Raw genomic sequence first — 19,179 nt, 5'->3', positions numbered from 1 at the left:
AAATCCTCAAAATAGCAATCCAGGTAAGACCTCTGATAGTAAACTACTCTTGGTGGTGCTATCATAAGATTATGGAACTATTGATCACAAAAAAGCAATTCAAAAAGCAATGTGTAAATAGCATGTGTTTACATATATACATATATATATATAGCTTTGATTTAAATTTTTTAGTTTATAATTCAGAATTAGTTAAGAATTTAGTTGTAGGTAGCTTATAATCTCAAAAAATATTATCTGAAAAAATATTTGTTTAATTATGGTCCCTAAAATCCTACATAATACTTTTGTATAAATAAGTAATGCAATGTTTAAGTTTGTATATTGTATGTTTCTTCAATTGTCATAACAACTTAGGCTTGTTACAAAATGTATAACCCTTAGTGTGATTGATGAGCTCAGTAATAGGGGATGATCAGGTTATCCAATTTAATGAATTAATATATTTATAAATAAATTTTATTACAAATTTTAAAGTAGCTTACATGCCCTGAATTAGAAGCCACAAAGAATTGACCATCTAATAATGAAAAGTAGGAATTAATAACAGAAAACCGTAACATTTGAATATTTTAACTTGCGGTGGTCTGTCCCACAGACCCCGGCTGCATGACGGATGAGACACATACCCAGACACCAATATTCAGTGAAAGAGCAGCAAGGGTTCTGAGCCGATTACAGGCACCAAGGAAGGTGCTGTAAAGAGTCAGCAGCCACAGCCCTGGCTAGCTGGCCCTGTGGGCATTTATTAGCAAAGTTTTAATGATAAAGGCTTTGAGCCAACACACCTGTGGGTAATTAATCTGGGTGCCCCTACCCCAGGAGAGCCATCTTGCCTGTGGGTGATCAAAGGGTAGTCTTAAGACCACATGAGTAAACAAGCTATTTGGATAAACTACTCTACCTTTCTTTGTACCCACTTTAAGCTACTTACTCAAGGTAAGGATTAGGCTGCTTTCAGCCATAACCCTATCTTGAGACTTTTACAAAACCTTTGGCATTCCAAGAAGATTTGTGTCTATGTCCTATAACTTCATCTTAAAATGTTTCCCACCAGCCTGACTGAACTCCCACAATAACCTATGAAGAAACATGGTTTTATTTATTTATGTATTTTAGAGACAGGGTCTCCTTATGTTGCCCAGGCTGGTATTGAACTTCTGGGCTCTATTTAATTTTTACAATAAACGGTTTGCATTTAGTAAATGAGAATTAATTACAATGGAGTCTTGTGCAATATGAGAGTTAGGGTGCTGATCCCCCATGCAGCTGAAAATCTGCTTCATATGAAAATCTGTTTCTTTTGACTCCTCCAAACCTTTACTAATAGTCCACTGTTGACCTGGAGCCTTACTGAAAGCATAGTCAATTAACACATAGTTTCGATTTTATATGTACTATATACTGTATTCTTACAATAAAGTGAACTCGAGGAAAACTGTTACAAGGAGGAAAAAATATATTCACTATTTATTAAGTGGAAGTGAATTATTATACATAAAGGTTTTCATTCTTATTGCCTTCACATTGAGTAGTCTGATGAGGAGGCAGAGGAGAGATTTGTCTTGCTATCTTGCAGTGCCAAAGGAAAAGAAAAATCTGTCTGTTAGTGGGCTCCTACAGTGAAAACCCTTATTCAAGGATCAACTTTGTGACATAGTGACTTGTGTCACTAAGAAAGTAACTATCTTGGCCAGGCGCAGTGGCTCACGCCTGTAATCCCAGGACTTTGGAAGGCCGAGGTGGGTGGATCACAAGGTTAGGAGATTGAGACCATCCTGGCTAACATGGTGAAACCCTGTCTCTACTAAAAATACAAAAAAATTAGCTGGGCTTGGTGGTGGGTACCTGTAGTTCCAGCTACTCGGGAGGCTGAGACAGGAGAATGGCATGAACCCGGGAGGTGGAGCTTGCAGTGAGCCGAGATTATGCCACTGCACTCCAGCCTGGGTGACAGAGCGAGACTCTGTCTTAAAGAAAAGTAACTATCTTTAGAATAGTTAATAATACTTAATAATACTTTTCTGGCACCACGAACAAATGTCAACAAGAATTACAAAACTTAGCCAGGGTGCCTCAGTACCAATAGGAGATTATTTTCCAAAGATACCTACTGAGTGCAGAAGTCAGAAAAGCAATTTTTTGTTGAGAAGTGCAGGTTGTGTTACATAGTCTTGTACCAACAAGGTCTCACTATTATCAACTTCATTCCAAGCTGAAACCAAATAAGATATATTTACTTCATTAGAACAAGATATGTTGTTCTATCTGCTGGATAATTAGCGTGTTAATAGTAATTTTGTTACAACAAGATACTCTGTTTCTAATAGCCAAAATATTATCATTATAAGTATTCAAATAGCTTAACTCTAGGCTCAACAAATTATAATAAAATTACAAACATTTTTCACAATAACAAAAATGCTACTGTGATATCTAAATGTGACACAATGCATGGTACAATATGAACTGTATGAGCACATCTTTATTATATATTTATCAAAGGATAAATTATCAAACGATAAGTTAGGTTTTGCAAGTTGCAGGAGACAAAGATGGAATACACATAGTCTGGGTCTTTAAGGTGCTCATAATACAGTAGAGCTGTCCCTATTGAATTTCTGCATTTTTTCCAACAGAATTTCCTAAAAAATGTTTTTTATTTATTTATCCACTTGTCCACTTAACAAATAACTGTCAGGTATCTTTAAGGTACTAAGCATCTTCCTTGTTATTATCATTGTCATTTTTTATTATTTACTACTTTATTAAGGTACTAAGCATTTTTCTTGTTTTTATTATTTATTTATTTAGCGCTCATTCTGTGCTAGAACCCCTTTGGGAGCTTCTAATTACTTATTATGTCATGTCGTTACCATATTCAGCATGTGTCAGACGTTTTATATCCCTATGGATTTGAAGTGGGGTGCGTGGCACTCACTGAGTCTTCAAAGACCAGGTTTTAGGTGCAACTCATTTGGCAACTACAAACTTAGGTCACTGTTTGTATGTTACTTGCAGGATTCATGTACTTAGTTTTTAACTATTTATACTACTTTAAGTCTCTAAAAATTCATATATTGAAAAAATTGAAAATTTTAAGTTTCTACTCCTCATTACTTTTTGTGATATTTGATCTCCCCTAATACTTGATTATAAATCAGCCAGTGATCAATAAAGAGTCTCTCCCACTTTTCAAATCATTATATTTTTAAGTCATGCAATAAAATAGGTCAGGTGGTGAACATTGTTTATCATTAGAGATACCACTGTGATGTCACTAGGATTCGTGAGGAGATGACACCTGAGAAGAAGGATCTGCATAAGAGGCCTCACCTCTGCCCTCCTGTGTTTTTTTGGAAATTGAGCATGGTAAAAAGAACCTGCTAAACCTGGCTGGACACAGTGACTCAAACCTGGAATCCCAGCACTTTGAGAGGCCGAGGCAGGAGGATGGCTTTAGGCCAGGAGTTTGAGACCAGCCTAGGCAACAGAGTGAGGCCCCATCTCTGCAAAAGCATTAACAATTAGCCAAGTGTGGTGGCATGTGCTTGTGGTCCCAGCTGCTCGGAAGGCTGAGATGGGAGGATTGCCTGAGCCCAGGAGTTTGAGGCTACTGCACTCCAGCCTGGGCAACTGAGTAAGACCCTGCCCCTAACAAAAAAAGATAAAGAATCAGCTAAACCTAATAGAATCATTGACCCTTGCCACCAAGCAAGCTTACATCTTTCTCATAGAAGGAGGAGACTGTCGAGTTATTTTGCTCACATAATATGGCCATTGGAAAATATTTTGGCTATTATAGCTAAAACAATATTTTATTAATAACAGTTTATTAATCATTTACTTGTAAACAATAAAAGCTTGGCTCTCTTTGTACTGCTCATGGCTTTAGGTGGATCTTGGAACGTAACCACTTGTGAGAAGCTAGTAGTATTTGCTGCTTCCCTTAAAGCTCCTGAAAGGCAGAGAGGAAATCTTAGATTTTTCATTGCTATGAACCACTGCAAGTATTGAGGAAATATTCACTACTTCCAACGTCGTAATCCTGCAGCCATTTGGCACCTGTGAGTCAGGTGCCAGAAACTGGGCAGTGCAGAAGGCAGTGCGCTGTGTTCCACAGTTGCTTGCTATCTAGAACTTCTAGAACTTCTGCTTTTCTAGAACTTCTGCTGTTCATTCTCAACTCCAAGAGTTTTGTTGTTGTTTTGTTTTATGGGAAGTTTGTTAGAAGTAGGTTTATATATTTTCTTTCAGAATTAACAGAAGAATTATAATTAATATCACTTCCTGGTGTGACCGAAAGCCTCTAATCCTTTACTGTTATTTGTTTATGAGCACATTTCTTTTAACAGCTATGATAATTACTACATCTTGTGTGGTTTCTCAAAAATACATTTGTTTCTTATTTCAAAGAGTTTCTGTAATGGAGCCCTTCAGATTTGGTGCTAATAACATGAAGTAAGAATTTAAGAAAGAAGATCTTTTATTTTATTTATATTTATATTTTTTGAGATGGAGTCTTGCTCTTGTCACCCAGGCTGGAGCAGTGGCGCCATCTTGGCTCACTGCAGACTCCGCCTCCCGGGCTCAAGTAATTCTCCTGCAGGGTTTCACCATGTTGACCAGGCTGGTCTTGAACTCCTGACCTCAGGTGGTCCACCTGCCTTCGCCTCCCAGAGTGCTGGGATTACAGGCATGGGCCATCGTGCCTGGCCAGTTGCAAAATATTTAAATGTTACATACAGAGGTGCGAGGGAGATCCATATAGTACCATGTAAATTGCTTGAATCTTTTCAGAGTACTGTTTGTATGTGGTTTCAAAGCAGGGATTAATATATTTATTTTTATCTTTTAATTACAATTTGTATACCTATTCAAAAGTAGAGAAAATAGTAAAAGTAACACTAAAATACCCATTATTCAATTTCTGTGATCAAGATTGTCCTACATTTTGTTCATCTATCTGTTCATCTATCTTTACAGGAATATTATAAAGCAAATCACAAGGCCATTTTTTCTGTTCAGTGTGCATCCCTGGACAGCACTAAAGTTTCTTTATTTTTTTTTTCTTCAGCTTTTAAGTTCTGGGGTCCATGTACAGGATGTGCAGGTTCATTACATAGGTAAACGTGTGTCATAGTGGTTTGCTGCACAGATCAACCCATCACTCAGATATTACGCCCAGTATTGATTAGCTATTCTTCCTGATGCTCTCCCTCCTCCTGCCCCCACAACAGGTCCCATTGTGTGTTGTTACCCCTCATGGATCTGTGTGTTCTCATCATTCAGCTCCCACTTATAAGTGAGAATACGTGTTGTTTGATTTTCTGTTCCTGCATTAGTTTTCTGAGGATCATGGCTTCCAGCTCCATCCATGTCTTTGCAGAGGACATGATCTTGTTTCTTTTTAGGCCTGCATGATAGTCCATCGTGCACATGTACCAAATTTTCTTTATCCAGTCTAACATTGATGGGCATTTTGGTAGATTTCATGTCTTTGCTGTTGTGAATAGTGCTGCAGTGAACATACATGTGCATGTCTCTTTATAATATAATGATTTATATTATTTTGGATATATACCTAGCAATGGGATTGCTGGGTCAATGGTCTTTCTGCTTCTAGATCTTTGAGGAGTCAACACACTTCCTTCCTCGATGGTTGAACTAATTCTTGGCAAGCCTCCTAGCAAGCCTCTGTGTCAGCCTCCTAGCCAGCCAGCCTGAAGACTGGCCTCCCATGCAGCCAGCATTCCGAACAGCATTCCAGCAACCCTCTTCCCCTGCCAGAAGACTCGTGATTTGATTAGCCTCCCATGCAGCCAGGCTCTAGGCCAGCCTCCAAAAAACCGGCCTGCCACCAGGCCTCCAAGTCACATTCATCTTGCCGGACTCTTCAGCAAGCGTTTTAGGAAGCATTTAAGGCAGCCTCTCACACAGCCTCTCCCGCAGGCTCTTGGCCAGCCTCCTAGACAGCCAGCCTCCGATCCAGCCTTTCAGAAAGTCTCTAAGCGAATCTCCCAGACAATCAGCTTCCAGACCAACCTCCCATGCAGCCAGCGTTTTTAACAGCCATCCAGCAAGCCTCTTGCACAGCCAGACAATCTGCCACTCTGCCAGTTTCCTCGCCAGCCTCTTGGTTAGCCTCCCATGCAGCCAGCTTCTAGGCCAGCCTCCTAACAAGCCAGACTTGCATTCCGACTCTTAGCCAGATTCAGCCTGCCAGGATCTCAGCAGGCCTTTTAGCAAGCGTTTATGGCAGCCTCTCAGACAGAAAGCCTCTCCCACAGGCTCTAGGCCAGCCTCCCAGTGAGCCAGCCTCTCAGCAAGCCTCTATGCTACTTTTCAAGAGAGTCCTTCAGTACACCAGCCTCCCATGCAGCCCGCGCCTTGGCCAGCCTTCCAGCCAGCCTCTAGGTAAGTCTGTTAGCCAGCCGCTTAGCCAACCAGCTTCAGAATCAGCCTCCCATGCCACCAATGGCGTGGCCAGCCTCCCAGTACGCCTCTTAGAGAGCCTCTTAGGCGGCCTCCTGACTAGCCAGCCTCAAAACCAGCCTCCCTTGCAGCCAGCGTTTCCAACAGCCTCAGTGGGAGTGAAGGAGAAGGCAGCCAAAGTTTGAGGTTGATTTTAAGGTGGCCTTGTCCCTCTGCCCTGCAGGCCTTGTCCCTGTGCCCTGCAGGGCGCCCCCATCCCAGGACTGGGGGCCTGCCCAGGAAGAAGGCCCAGATACCGGGGCCCAAGATTTCTGCCCCGCTGCCGACCCACTCTTCCACCTGCTGCCTTTGTCCCGGGGACACCCACCACACCCCACGCTGAAGGGGCGATCCTCCCACAGCTGTCACCTCCTCCTGCAGCCCCAGCTCAGGCAGGGCACGGCGCCTCTTCTTCGCATCTTTTATGTTCAGGTCGATGGTCCTCGTCTTCACATCATCCCCTGCAAGCTTCCAGGCGTGGCCCCGGGAGGCAGCTCTGTGCATCTTTCTGATATCCCTATAGTGGATGACTTAAGAGTCTTTGGTGGTAGACCAGCTGAGTGAAGGCTCTCTGGCACTCCAGGCTTGTCACGCCCTTGACAGCAGTGGCAGAAAGCCTCTGCATGGCTGCAGCCACCTTTTAAGAGAGAGGCCGCTCCTCTCACTCGCCCTTCCCCAGCCCCAGCCCCAGCCCCAGCCCCAGCCCCCGCCGCTCGCCCTTGCCCTTAATCGCCACCACATCCGGCCCAACATCAGTAAAAAGTGTGGTCTAGTGAAGCCCTTGTACACTCCGGCCTCTTTCTAGAGAAATTTGTTGAGTAGAGCCGTGAGGCTTTCACGGGATCTTGTAGCCAGCCTCCTAACAAGCGAGCCTGGTACAACCAGGCTCTTAGCCGGACTCAGCCTACCAGGCCCTCAGCAAGCAAAATTAGCAAGAATTTGAGGTACCCTCTCACACGGACTCTCCGCCAGCCTCCTAGTCGGCCGCCTCTCACCCGGGTTCTTGGCAAATCTCCCAGCAAGCCTCTATGTCAGCCTCCTAGCCAGCCAGCCAGCCTGAAGACCGGCCTTCCATGCAGCCAGCATTTCGATCAGCGTTCCAGCAAGCCTCTCCCCCTGCCAGAAGACTTGTCATTCGACCAGACTCCCATGCAGGCAGGCTCTAGGCCGGCCTCCAAAAAACCGGCCTGCCACCCAGCCTCCAAGTCATATTCATCTTGCCGGACTTTTCAGCAAGCATTTTAGGAAGTATTTAAGGCAGCCTCTCAGACAGATAATTTTCTGGAATATTCCATTAAACATTCTTCTCTGATTAAATAACGCTTGCCTCACCATGGCAACATAAATCACTGAAAAATACTGTTTATCCGAAGAATAGTCTCTCAACTTGTGGGATAAATGATGTATAATTTTTAACCTTCTTGAGGGCAGATATTATGAGAAAATTTTTAATCATAAGAAAAACATTGCAGAATTATAGCCACAGTTTTAAAAATAAGCACATTATAATGATAATAAAATTGTAATACAACTAATTATAATGAACATATAAAAGAAGTCTCCCCATGGAGATTAGTATCATAAAACAATTTATATAATTTCACCAGCTATAGATTCACTGTTGGCATGTTACTTTTAATACATACTTGACTTTCAATTCGAAATCATTTTTTCATTAAATCCTGTACCTCAACTTTGAGATTAATGTGGTAATGTGATGCAGCTTCTAGTGAAGCCTCAGACACACATTGTTTATTGAGATCAGCCAATTTTTTTTGAAGTTGTCTCACAGTGACCTGACATGTTTGTTATTGATTTGTAAATCACCTTATCAAATTAACAATATTTACTTTCAAAAATATCACCAAATATATTGGTTCAGCTTATTTTCTTTATGTGTACACATTCCTGCTTATTACTGAATCCACTTAAGGACACAAGAAGGTATTATCTTCCTGCCAAACTGGTACTCTCTTACTAGACACCAGATTCATCCCACTAGTCATTTGTCCCCTAATGAATCTGTAATGCTTCACAACTTACTGAAGTCTCAAGAAAATATGTGGGCAGGACTAGTGGTGGTAAATTCTATGCTGTGGAATGCTTTCCTTCTTTTTTATTGAAGCACAAATCAACATCAAAGTTCCTCACATACTCAATCACCTGGTGAAATTTTTCCAACAGGTTTCTATCTCAGAATAAAAGTATTTTTGTTTCAAAGGCTTTAGAGGCCCTAGGTAACCTGGTCTCCACATCCCTCCTGACCGCAGCTGCTAAGTTTCTCTCCTCTACTCACTTTTTTTGTACTATACATGAACCCTGCCACCCCCCATGAATTGAAAAATGGGGATCCAATGCAAAGCTAATAAATCACAGATAGCTACAATGATCTTTCTCTGGGACAAAGTTCTATCCACATGACAGTCTTTGAGCCTTGAAATAGAAATTATGAGCAAATTATTTGTAACAATATTCAAAGTAAATTATAAATACCAGTGGGATGATTAAATCAAATTTGATATTGCTAAAATCCACTACATTTGTCCTAAGCTATTATTTAATAAAACACAGATGGCTTTAAAAAATTAAGTTGTCATAACAATACATAATTTGAGATTCAGATATGTTCAGATTTAAGTCAAATTGACATAAATGAAAATAAAATTCTACCAACTAAAATATACAAAAAGTTACTGAAAAAGTAGTATTACAAGATGCAGAAATGTACACTTCAAAATATACTTCAAATACACTTCAGTTCCTCTGGAAAATTTAGAATTAACTGTCAAAGTAAATTGTTGAATCAATTTCAAAATACTCATTGCTGATATGGGCATTCCCATTTATCTGTTTCATCGTGGTCATAAAATGTGGCCACAAAGAGATATTAAAACCTTTATTGGCCGGGTGCGGTGGCTCACGCCTGTAATCCCAGCACTTTGGGAGGCCGAGGCGGGTGGATCATGAGGTCAGGAGATCGAGACCATCCTGGCTAACAAGGTGAAACCCCGTCTCTACTAAAAATACAAAAAATTAGCCGGGCGCGGTGGCGGGCGCCTGTAGTCCCAGCTACTCGGGAGGCTGAGGCAGGAGAATGGCGTGAACCCGGGAAGCGGAGCTTGCACTGAGCCGAGATTGCGCCACTGCAGTCCACAGTCCGGCCTGGGCGACAGAGCGAGACTCCGTCTCAAAAAAAAAAAAAAAAAAAAAAAAACCTTTATTTCAGCAGTATAAGCCAATGTCATTAATGTTAATCTATTAAAAACCTTTAACTTAAATTCTTAAAATTTCATAAGTGACACAATGTCTTAAAGTAAAACATCTCTCAGCTTTAACTTGCATTTGGTGGAAATAAGCCATGTTTCTAAGCTGACATGGTAAATATATTTATTATCTATATTAAACTAGATTCAGCATTTATCTAAGGCCAAATATGACTTTAAATTTTCTTTCAGGAAGGTTGAAAAATATTTATTTTTTTTGATACTTCTCTTTCAGCTTTCTGTTTTTCATATTGGTATAAACATTATTTTAAATGGTTACAGTTATTAAATATCTCCTCATTTTTCTCTTTTAGGAGGTGATGTTGCGTTTTCCTCTCAAAACTGAATATTATTATCTTGCTTTTGTTATCAGCTTTCTTATGCACCTGAACTAATTGCTGTGGAAGCCACATGTTTTTGCTTTGTAGTTGAAATAATTTCTGCTCCAGACTCCTGCTGTTCAGTGTGCTTGGTCACATTATCTTGTTTGTTTTGATACATGTGTTCAGCTTTCTTCATTTGACACTATGTTTCACTTAGGTCTCTTTGTGCATGTTCTAAAACCTATGTATTTTCTCTTTGAGCGTCTCCTGCATAATTGAAATTAATTTTTAGACTTTTGGATTCCCTTTGAGCTTCAGAAAGTGGTTGATGAAGCTTCTCATTGTTATATATTATTCACATCAACATTCATTTTTCCTTGCAAATGAGCACTGTGGAAAGCAAGTTCTTGGTTTTTTCTTGATGTCACACTTTATCTTGGTCTTGTATAGCAGAAGCTAGTCTAGAATGGTATGATTCAATTTCTTTCTCCAGTATTTCTTTGTCTTGTTTTTCCTTCAATTTAGAAGTGAGCATTGTGTTCTTAGCTATCAGAACTTTAAGCTGCCCACTATACTGAGGTGCCCTTTTTGTTAATGTTTTCTCTTTCAGTTTTAGGGTCATTTGAAGTTCAGCATTCTTTTCTCTTAAAATCTTAATGTCCTCAAAGTATTTATTTTCCTTCTCCTGGTGCTGATGTTTTAGTATGTCCAATTTGCAGTTTTAGCATGGCAATTTCCTTTTTCAACATGCCATTTTCATGTAAGAGATCATTTTCATTTTCATAAGCATGAGAAACCTAAATAAAATAAATTTTTAGCTAGCACTCAATAAAATGGGATATCATGGTTCCTCTTAAAGAATAATTTTTACATTTATCCACTGAAAGGGTTTCTGTAAGTAGGTATCAGTTGAAGAACCATTGAATCAAAACTTCAAATGCTATAGAGCATAAATTCCCCAAAGTTCAAACATTTATTTGAACACAATGAATTCATGAAAGTAAAAAAGAAATGACTAGAGAATTTTTAAGAGCTTCAGAATTGAAACAAACTTTCCCTGGATTACAACACATGCAAAAGCATAAAATAAAAGATTAATCACTTTGACTACATACAAAAATTTGATTTACACCCTGATGTCTAACCTATACAAGACCCCATACTAGAAGCCTTAGTGTGTAGGGAGACCCCTTGAAACTATTGCTTTGGAATAAAAGGTGAAATACTCCTGATTATTGTAAATACAAAATTGCATGCAGGATTGTGTAAAGACAATGCCAGGTTGGACTGCCAGAATAAGCCAACAGTGCGTGATACGCTTCCCCCTGCAGAGAGCCTATGAACGGATATGCAGTCAGGGAGGTTTCACATCACCATGATTCCTATCCCAGAAAAGCAGATGTTCATAGCTCTGGGAATGGAATGTGACTCTTGTGGAGAGCCTATAAGCGAACGCATGAGGGGCGCCTGTTTATATGGATAAGATGGGGCTATAAATGCCCTTATCTTGCCTCGGCTCTTCTAGGCCTCTTTAGGGTTAAAGCATACTCCCTTCTGAGAATTTGTGGTCTAACCAGTTGTCTAGCTTCACGTCCTGTTTCTATGGATTGTTTGCAACCAGCTTTTGCTGCAACTGTTACTGCTGATTAATATCTTGCTAATCATAGGTTATGGAAAGACTGTGTTTCTGTTTTAAGGCTCTGTTAGAAATTGCTGATGCACACACTATATTGTAAATTCTTATCTCTGTATGCTGTACTTCTGCATACTGATGTTATGTTAAATTACTTCACCCTCGTGACCATCTCACCTCATAATCAAATGACCATAAATCCCTCACTAACCTATCCCCACCCTCACTAAACTTAATAATAAATGCTGGTATATCCAGTGCATTGGCGGCATCACAGGACCAGAAGGTGGTGACCCCCCTGGACACAGCTTTCACTATCTTGTGTGTGTCTTTTATTTCTCAACCTGCCAATCCGCCTGGGAACAAAGAAGGAGCCCTGTTGCATTGCGGGCTGCTGGCCAGTTCCCCCAATATTAGTGCTGCTTATATTTAGACAGATAAAATTTCCCAAAGCCCTTTCATTTCCTTTTTCCTGAGAATATTCTATAGATATTCTATTTTTAAAAATATAATTTTAAGAATTATATTTATAAATTATAAGTTGAGACATTGTAACAAGCACTTTTAGTTATCACAGTTCTGAAAGGAAAAGATTAAAAATATAAACAAGTATTTTCCTTATATTCCATACACATTAAGATTAAAAGTGTACAATTAAAGGAAATTGATTCTTGGGGGGAGAGGAATGGCCGTTTCACACTCTCTTTGTTGAACTGTAAATGAATATAAATTTTCTTGAGAACAATTTGGAAGTAATGAACAAAGAACTTTTTAAAACTTCCTATAATTTAACCAAATATTTTTATATTGAAGAATTTATTCCAAATCAATAATTAGAAAGGTAGAAAAATATTTACTTGCAGTTATGCCTTGCAGCACTTATAATACAAAAAATTAAAAATCAAAAAAATTAATTTGTTAAGTAAATAATGGGATTTCCAAATAATGGCCTTCTATATAGTCATTAAAATTGTGATTTAAATAAATATGCATTTAATTATCAGTAGAAGTATTCAAAGTTAAGAACTTGTATTATTTAAAGGAATTTGACACTCTACAAGACAGGTTTTTTTCTGCAGTTAAACCTCAGAAGGTAAGTCAGCTATTACAAAAAGTATCCTACATAATTTTAGTATAAATAGTTGAAATATTTATTTAAAACTAGGATGTCATACCTCACACTGCAGAGCTCTTGTTCCCATTTAACCTTTTGATTCACTTACTGCAATTTTATTTTTGCTTCTGATAGTTCCTTTTGTAGTACCCAAAACTTATTTTTCATTTGTTTTATTTTTGCTGTAAGTTGTTCACAGTGATATTTTTTAAGTTCCCTTGCTCTTTCATGAGAAGGAACTGCACCCAAGAATATTGATAGGCTAGTTGAATCTGTCTTGAGGAGGAGATAGAAATAAAATATATTAGTACTTTGGGATATAAAGGACAGCATATTTTAACAATCACTAATTCATACACTGAACAAATATATATTGATTGCCTACCACACCTGGCTAATTTTTTTGTATTTTTAATAGAGACAGGGTTTCACCATGTTGGCCAGGTGGGTCTCAAACTCCTGACCTGAAGTGATCCACCCACCTTTCCCTCCCAAAATACTGGGATTACAGGCATAAGCCACCACATTCTGCCTCAATAAATAATTTTGATTTAAAAATAATGACAAGCATCAATATTTTTTATTTCAAATCTTTTTTAAAACACATTTCCTTACTTTAAAGGCAATTAGATTTCAGGCTGTTCACATATTGAAAACCAAGACATTTCAAGAGAAAACCTTGCATATGCTCTGTAGAACACGCTTATCTTTTATCTTCATGTGGCTATTGACTGGGTTACTGAGCATGAAAAATAAATCATATTCACAAAAAAATTCACGTGTGTATATTTCAAAAGGAATTAACTTCAAAGTATCTGCCTTACACTGTAGTCCTCACCAAAAATAATAGGGCATTGCAAACAAAATACAATATGATTAAACATTTGACATATGCATAATTACAGAATTTTTGTTAAAAACTATGCATGGCACGAGAATTTTCAGAGTATGTCATGCGGAGTAGGAAAAGAACTCTAAATCTGTTTCATTTAGGAAAACAAAGGCTTAAGAATAATTTTGATAAGTTTTTGCTGATAACTGCTTGAATAAAATGAAAGATTCATAAGGAAAATATATATTTGTTATTTTTAAATGAAAACAATCATTAGATAAAGTATGCAATTGATTCTTAAGACATAACTTCAGAAAAGTAGAGCAAGCCTTCACAAAAAGAGAAAAATAAAAACATGTATTCGTGAAACATCTAACATGTGCCAGACACATATGTGCAGATTTTTCTTCACCTTAGAATAATGAGGATGATGATGATGTTGGTGGTTACCCCACTTTCTGCTTCCTAGTCATTCTAGGTTGTTAAGAACAAAATGATGAACAAATATGGTCCACTGTTCTCTGTTCAGAATGTCTTCCTCCTAGACTTTCATATGGCTTACTCCTCATCTTTGAGACAGGAGATTGAATGGCAGTCGCAGAAAGATCTACTCTGACCATAGAATTCCACTGCCACTCCCATACCCATGCTAATTATAAAGTTCTTCAATTTTCTCTAACCAAACATTCTCTGTTTTGTTTTTAAGAAAAAGTTACAGTGATTTATAAGTGTTTTTCATTTGTTATTATCTTCCTACTACTGCAGCATAATCCCTCATCTTGGATATTCAGAGACTCACTGCCTAGCACACAGTTGGTACTTAGAAAGAAATTACTCCAGGTCAAAACATTGAAAATCTCAACAGGAAAGTCTAATTTTCCAAACTGCTATATTTCTATGGAAAATCTGCAGTGGTAGCCTGCTGAAAGTTACCATCCTCTTACCCAAAATTAGAAATCCACATGCCTGTTCTTACTCCCTATTCTTGTGCTAACAATTCTGCTTTCACATAAATGCCACTTTGATCGTTTTGTCTTACATTTGGATACAGACTTCCCAGTTTACAGAATGTTTTCACATTTGTTACAACATTATTTCATCTCATGTACCTAAGAGGTAGATATGAGCACTATTTTTATATACAAGGTTACTAGTATTTGATTAGGTTAAATGATTTTTTCCAAGTTCCCATAGCTAGTAAGTGACAGAATCAAAATACAGACTTACCTTTTGACATCCACTCATTGCTGTTACCACTATGCAGCTGCTGCTTCTATCTTAAGTGGTGAGGCCTTTCCTATCTCTTCCACATCCATAGCTGTGACCTTGGAATACATCATTATTATCTGATACCTATGTGGTTGCAAACATGGCTGCCACAAAGGGACTCAAAGAGTTCTATTTGTGAAAAGAATGTCTACTTATTAAAATACTACTCAACCAAATTGTTGTGTTATAGTTTTACAGGTGTCCTATTTCTCATGTTTATCCAACTCCTGAAATGTTCCTTCAGATCTATACTGGATAATCGAAATATACTAATACTTTCAAGTCCCAGGCATTATCTTTTCAAGTTCCAAGTTGAGCAACACTAAGACTACAGTTTAAACTCTTTCTCCCTGAATCCAAGTAAAGCTTTCATACATCTAGATATACACAGAATCATGTATTTGCCCATAAATGAATGCAGAGAAATTATTTTGTTTTTAGACAAACTTATCTTCAGAACTCAGATTCCTGGTTTCTTCTATGCCTTATTTTCTTTTGCTCTATTCTACACTGGCTTTGTAAATTAATCCTGCAAATTAGCAGAATTGCACTATGCAGCTGTTATCTACTTGGCATATGATTATAAAGTATGTTCTGATAAATGTCAGAAAATTTCTTATGGCTTATGGACACATGCAGACGTGAGACAAAGTCATCTTTTTATGTTTTAAGATTACTCATTACTTAAGTTTTAAAATAACAACAATACACGGTACCTCAGAAACTGAAGGTGATTTCGTATCTTCTTTTTGTCCTGACTCTGATGTGGGCATCTTATCTACAGAATGGTATTCACAGACACACATATGAGAACATTTATTACTGTAAATTATAAAAACATACACAAATCTATTTCCATTTATGAATATTTCAAAAAGTAATAGCAAATATAGAATTTCAGAATCAAAGCAGGTTCAGAAAATTGATAGTATGATGAAAGATAGCAAAAAGTATTTTTTAAGGTAGACATTGTATTTCAGTCTATAAAATTGTTTTCTAAATAATAGCATTTAAGCATAGAAAAATTTTCAGAGATACTAACTTACCACTTCTATTATTTTGGTATAAAAAAAGAAAATTGTCATTACTTGTTAGATCTTATGGCGCTCATTCAATAATTCCAATATCATTTTCTTGTTGTTCAGTTGCTGTCTTTGTTGCTTCCTTCTATTACAAACAAAAACCAAAAAGCACCAAAAAACAACTTCAGAAAAAACTTTATTTATTCACTCATTCACTCAATTTGTCAGTAAGACAAAACAAAACACAAACAAAAAAACCCATACATTGTATCTATCGAATCACAGGCACTATCCTGGGAGAAGCAGGAAATATACACAGAAGATAGATTCTGGCCTATATTCAAGAAATGTTAGAGACGTGAAAACAAATAAGAACAGAAAAGTATAATTCACCAGTTCTACAATTTAAGTCAATATAATACATAAGGGCACAAAGGAGAGAACAATCAGTTTTATCTGAAAAGCATAGAAAATGCTGCCATAATGGGGCCATATTGGGAAGGACAGACAAAGTGCAGAGTCAGGATACAAAGACTCTAGGTGCAATAGCATGTGTAAAATAATAAGGCATGAAACAACATGGCAATTGAGGGGTGCCAAGGTGATGTCGTAAAACTGGAACACAGAGGAAAGAGATGAAGAGATAAAATGGGGCCAAACCATATAAGATATGTGTCACGCTAGAATGTGAACTTACCCCTTCGTGTAATGGGTATTCACTCAATATGCAGATGAGTTACATCATTACAAATACATTTTAGAAAGGTGACCCTTCCAGCGATGTAAAGATAGATGAACATGGGGAGATGGGGCAAAACTAGAAAGGAGTACTTCAAAATTATAGGTAGAGAGTTAATTATGGTAATAAGATATGGAAAATTATAAGAAGGTAGAAAATACAAAATTAGGTGTGTGACTGGATGGGTGACATGGAAAAGGGTTGAAGTTTAGGATGTGGGGGAGGGTTGAAGTGCAGGTTTAAGTGCTTGAGTGTTTCACCGCTACTTCCTAGGTGTTATTTCCTAGGATGGGGAAACCAGATGACAGAGTAGATTACGAAGAGTCAGAAAACAGGAACAGAATAAAAATGATGCTTTCAGTTTGAGACCTATAAGATTTGGGGCACCCAAGGGGCTTGGAAGAAAGATCTGGATAAATACATTTGGAGTATGAGTAGATGACCTACATGAGGAAAATTACATAGTGATAAGATAAATATTTATAAGATAGGCTAAATGGGTAGAATTAAGTAACCTATGCAGACTGTTGAATTTTTGAAAGTGAAATCGGGCCAGGTGCAGTGGCTTACGCCTGTAGTCCCAGCATTTTAGGAGGCCGAGGCGGGTGGATCATGAGGTCAGGAGTTTGAGCCCAGCCTGGGCAACATGGTGAAACTCCGTCTCTACTAAAAATACAAAAATTAGCTGGGCGTGGAGGCGCATGCCTGTACTCCCAGATACTCGGGAGGCTGAGGCAGGAGAATCGCTTGAACCTGGGAGGTGGAGGTTGCAGTGAGCCGAGATCGTGCCATTGCATTCCAGCCTGGGTGACAGGGTGAGACTCTGTCTCAAAAAAAAAAAAAAAAAAAAAAAAAAGAAAATCAAAGGAGAGACAAAAACATGGGATTAAGTTTCTCAGTTATATATTTCCAAATTTGTTTCAAGAAAATAATTTTATTTATATAGGTAAATATTTCTGAAATATTGCAATATGCATCTTTGAATTGAATGAAAACATTTAATTCTAAAACACCAAGATTCTGCAAAAGAACCTTTATAAAAATTAACTTTGAAATTTTTAATTGTACAAGAGAAATGCTTACCTAATTATAGAATTATGAGGCATTTTTAATTACCATTATAAAGTGAGATAGAAATGTGAAACCCTGTTTTAAAATTCACATGTTTTTCTTATGTTCCTGTAAACAATAGAATGCTAGCTCACATTGCCTATTTACACCATATAGGATGGTAGTTTAAAATTGGAGAAAAGATCTCATATAAAGAAAATTAACCAATAATTATTCAAGTTGAAGATTTAATAGTTTTTACATACATCTATGATTGTCAAGCAGGATCCAGTATTTACAGGAGAAGTGAAGAAAGAAACTACAAAATTCAAGTCGACAGGATTCCTGAGTTTTAGAAATAAACAAATATATGTGCAAGGTTTAATAATTATGAAGACTAAGTTAAGGCTTCCTGGAAATAATATAAAATATCCCGATTGCAAGAGATATTTTTAAGAGCAAAAAAATTCTTCCAATGATAAGTTTGTTTACTCTGTTAACAATTTTCCTTACATATGATTCTATAATAATAGGTACTTTACTTTAAAAAATTCACAAAGATTGATTACATTCATTTGATGTGTGCATATAATACCATTACATACAGATATTATGAGCAAAAGATGTCAGAATATTTCTAGAGATTAATTTCTACATTTATTTCTTTGAGAGTGTTGTAGCTTAAAAGTGATTCTTCTTTTTTTTTTTTTTTTTTTTTTTTTTTTTTTTGAGATGGAGTCTCGCTCTGTGGCCCAGGCTGGAGTGCGGTGGCGCGATCTCAGCTTACTGCAAGCTCCGCCTCCCAGGTTCACGCCATTCTCCTGCCTCAGCCTCCCGAGTAGCTGGGACTACAGGCGCCCGCCACCACGCCCAGCTAATTTTTTGTATTTTTAGTAGAGACGGGGCTTCACCATGTTAGCCATGATGGTCTCAAGAAAAAAGATTTTTCTCTTTTAAGAGATATAGATTAAAAACCTTGTTCATATGATCAGAAAATTTAATTTTAATAAGATTAAATAAAATGCTTATTTATTTATACTCTATTAACAAAAATATTCAAAACAGCTACCAAGGTTATATCAAAGAGTAGGATAAATTAGTTAAATAACCTAAGAATATGTCAAACATTAAGTTAGAAATCTTAAACCAGAAACCAAAGAGTCAAAAATTAATAATTCACAATAAAGCTGACAAGGCCTAAAACCAATTTAACTTTGCATTCTGCATTAATATAAGTATGACTAGATTAAATATAAAACATAAAGTTACTAAAAGAAGTGAGAATTCTTTCCTTGTTAATAATTTTTTTGTTCACACAATATAAATGTATATGTTTCGAGGGTACATATAATAACTTAATACATTCACATAATGAAATCAGAATAGTTGAGATATTAATCACCTTAAGTATTTATCTTTCCTTTATGCTAGAAACATTCAAACTATTCTCTACTAGGTAT

The 19,179-nt window shown here is 37.5% G+C and overlaps 1 pseudogene across 1 annotated transcript in view; it reads right to left on the bottom strand.

Moving 5' to 3' along the window:
• Positions 1-1,457: 1,457 nt before the first annotated feature.
• ANKRD30BP3 (ankyrin repeat domain 30B pseudogene 3) overlaps positions 1,458-19,179 on the bottom strand; it is a 31,380-nt pseudogene continuing 13,658 nt past the window's right edge. Inside the window, exons 3-8 of the transcript NR_033891.1 lie at positions 15,955-16,075; positions 15,625-15,686; positions 14,867-14,964; positions 12,869-13,083; positions 2,115-2,215; positions 1,458-1,572 (exon numbers count right to left, since the gene is read on the bottom strand). The product of NR_033891.1 is annotated as an ankyrin repeat domain 30B pseudogene 3 (transcript). The remainder of the gene's footprint in view (positions 1,573-2,114; positions 2,216-12,868; positions 13,084-14,866; positions 14,965-15,624; positions 15,687-15,954; positions 16,076-19,179) is intronic.

Source organism: Homo sapiens, chromosome 10 (genome assembly GCF_000001405.40).
Source record: "Homo sapiens chromosome 10, GRCh38.p14 Primary Assembly".
Lineage (NCBI taxonomy): Eukaryota > Metazoa > Chordata > Mammalia > Primates > Hominidae > Homo > Homo sapiens.
This window is presented reverse-complemented; position numbering and strand designations above follow the sequence as displayed.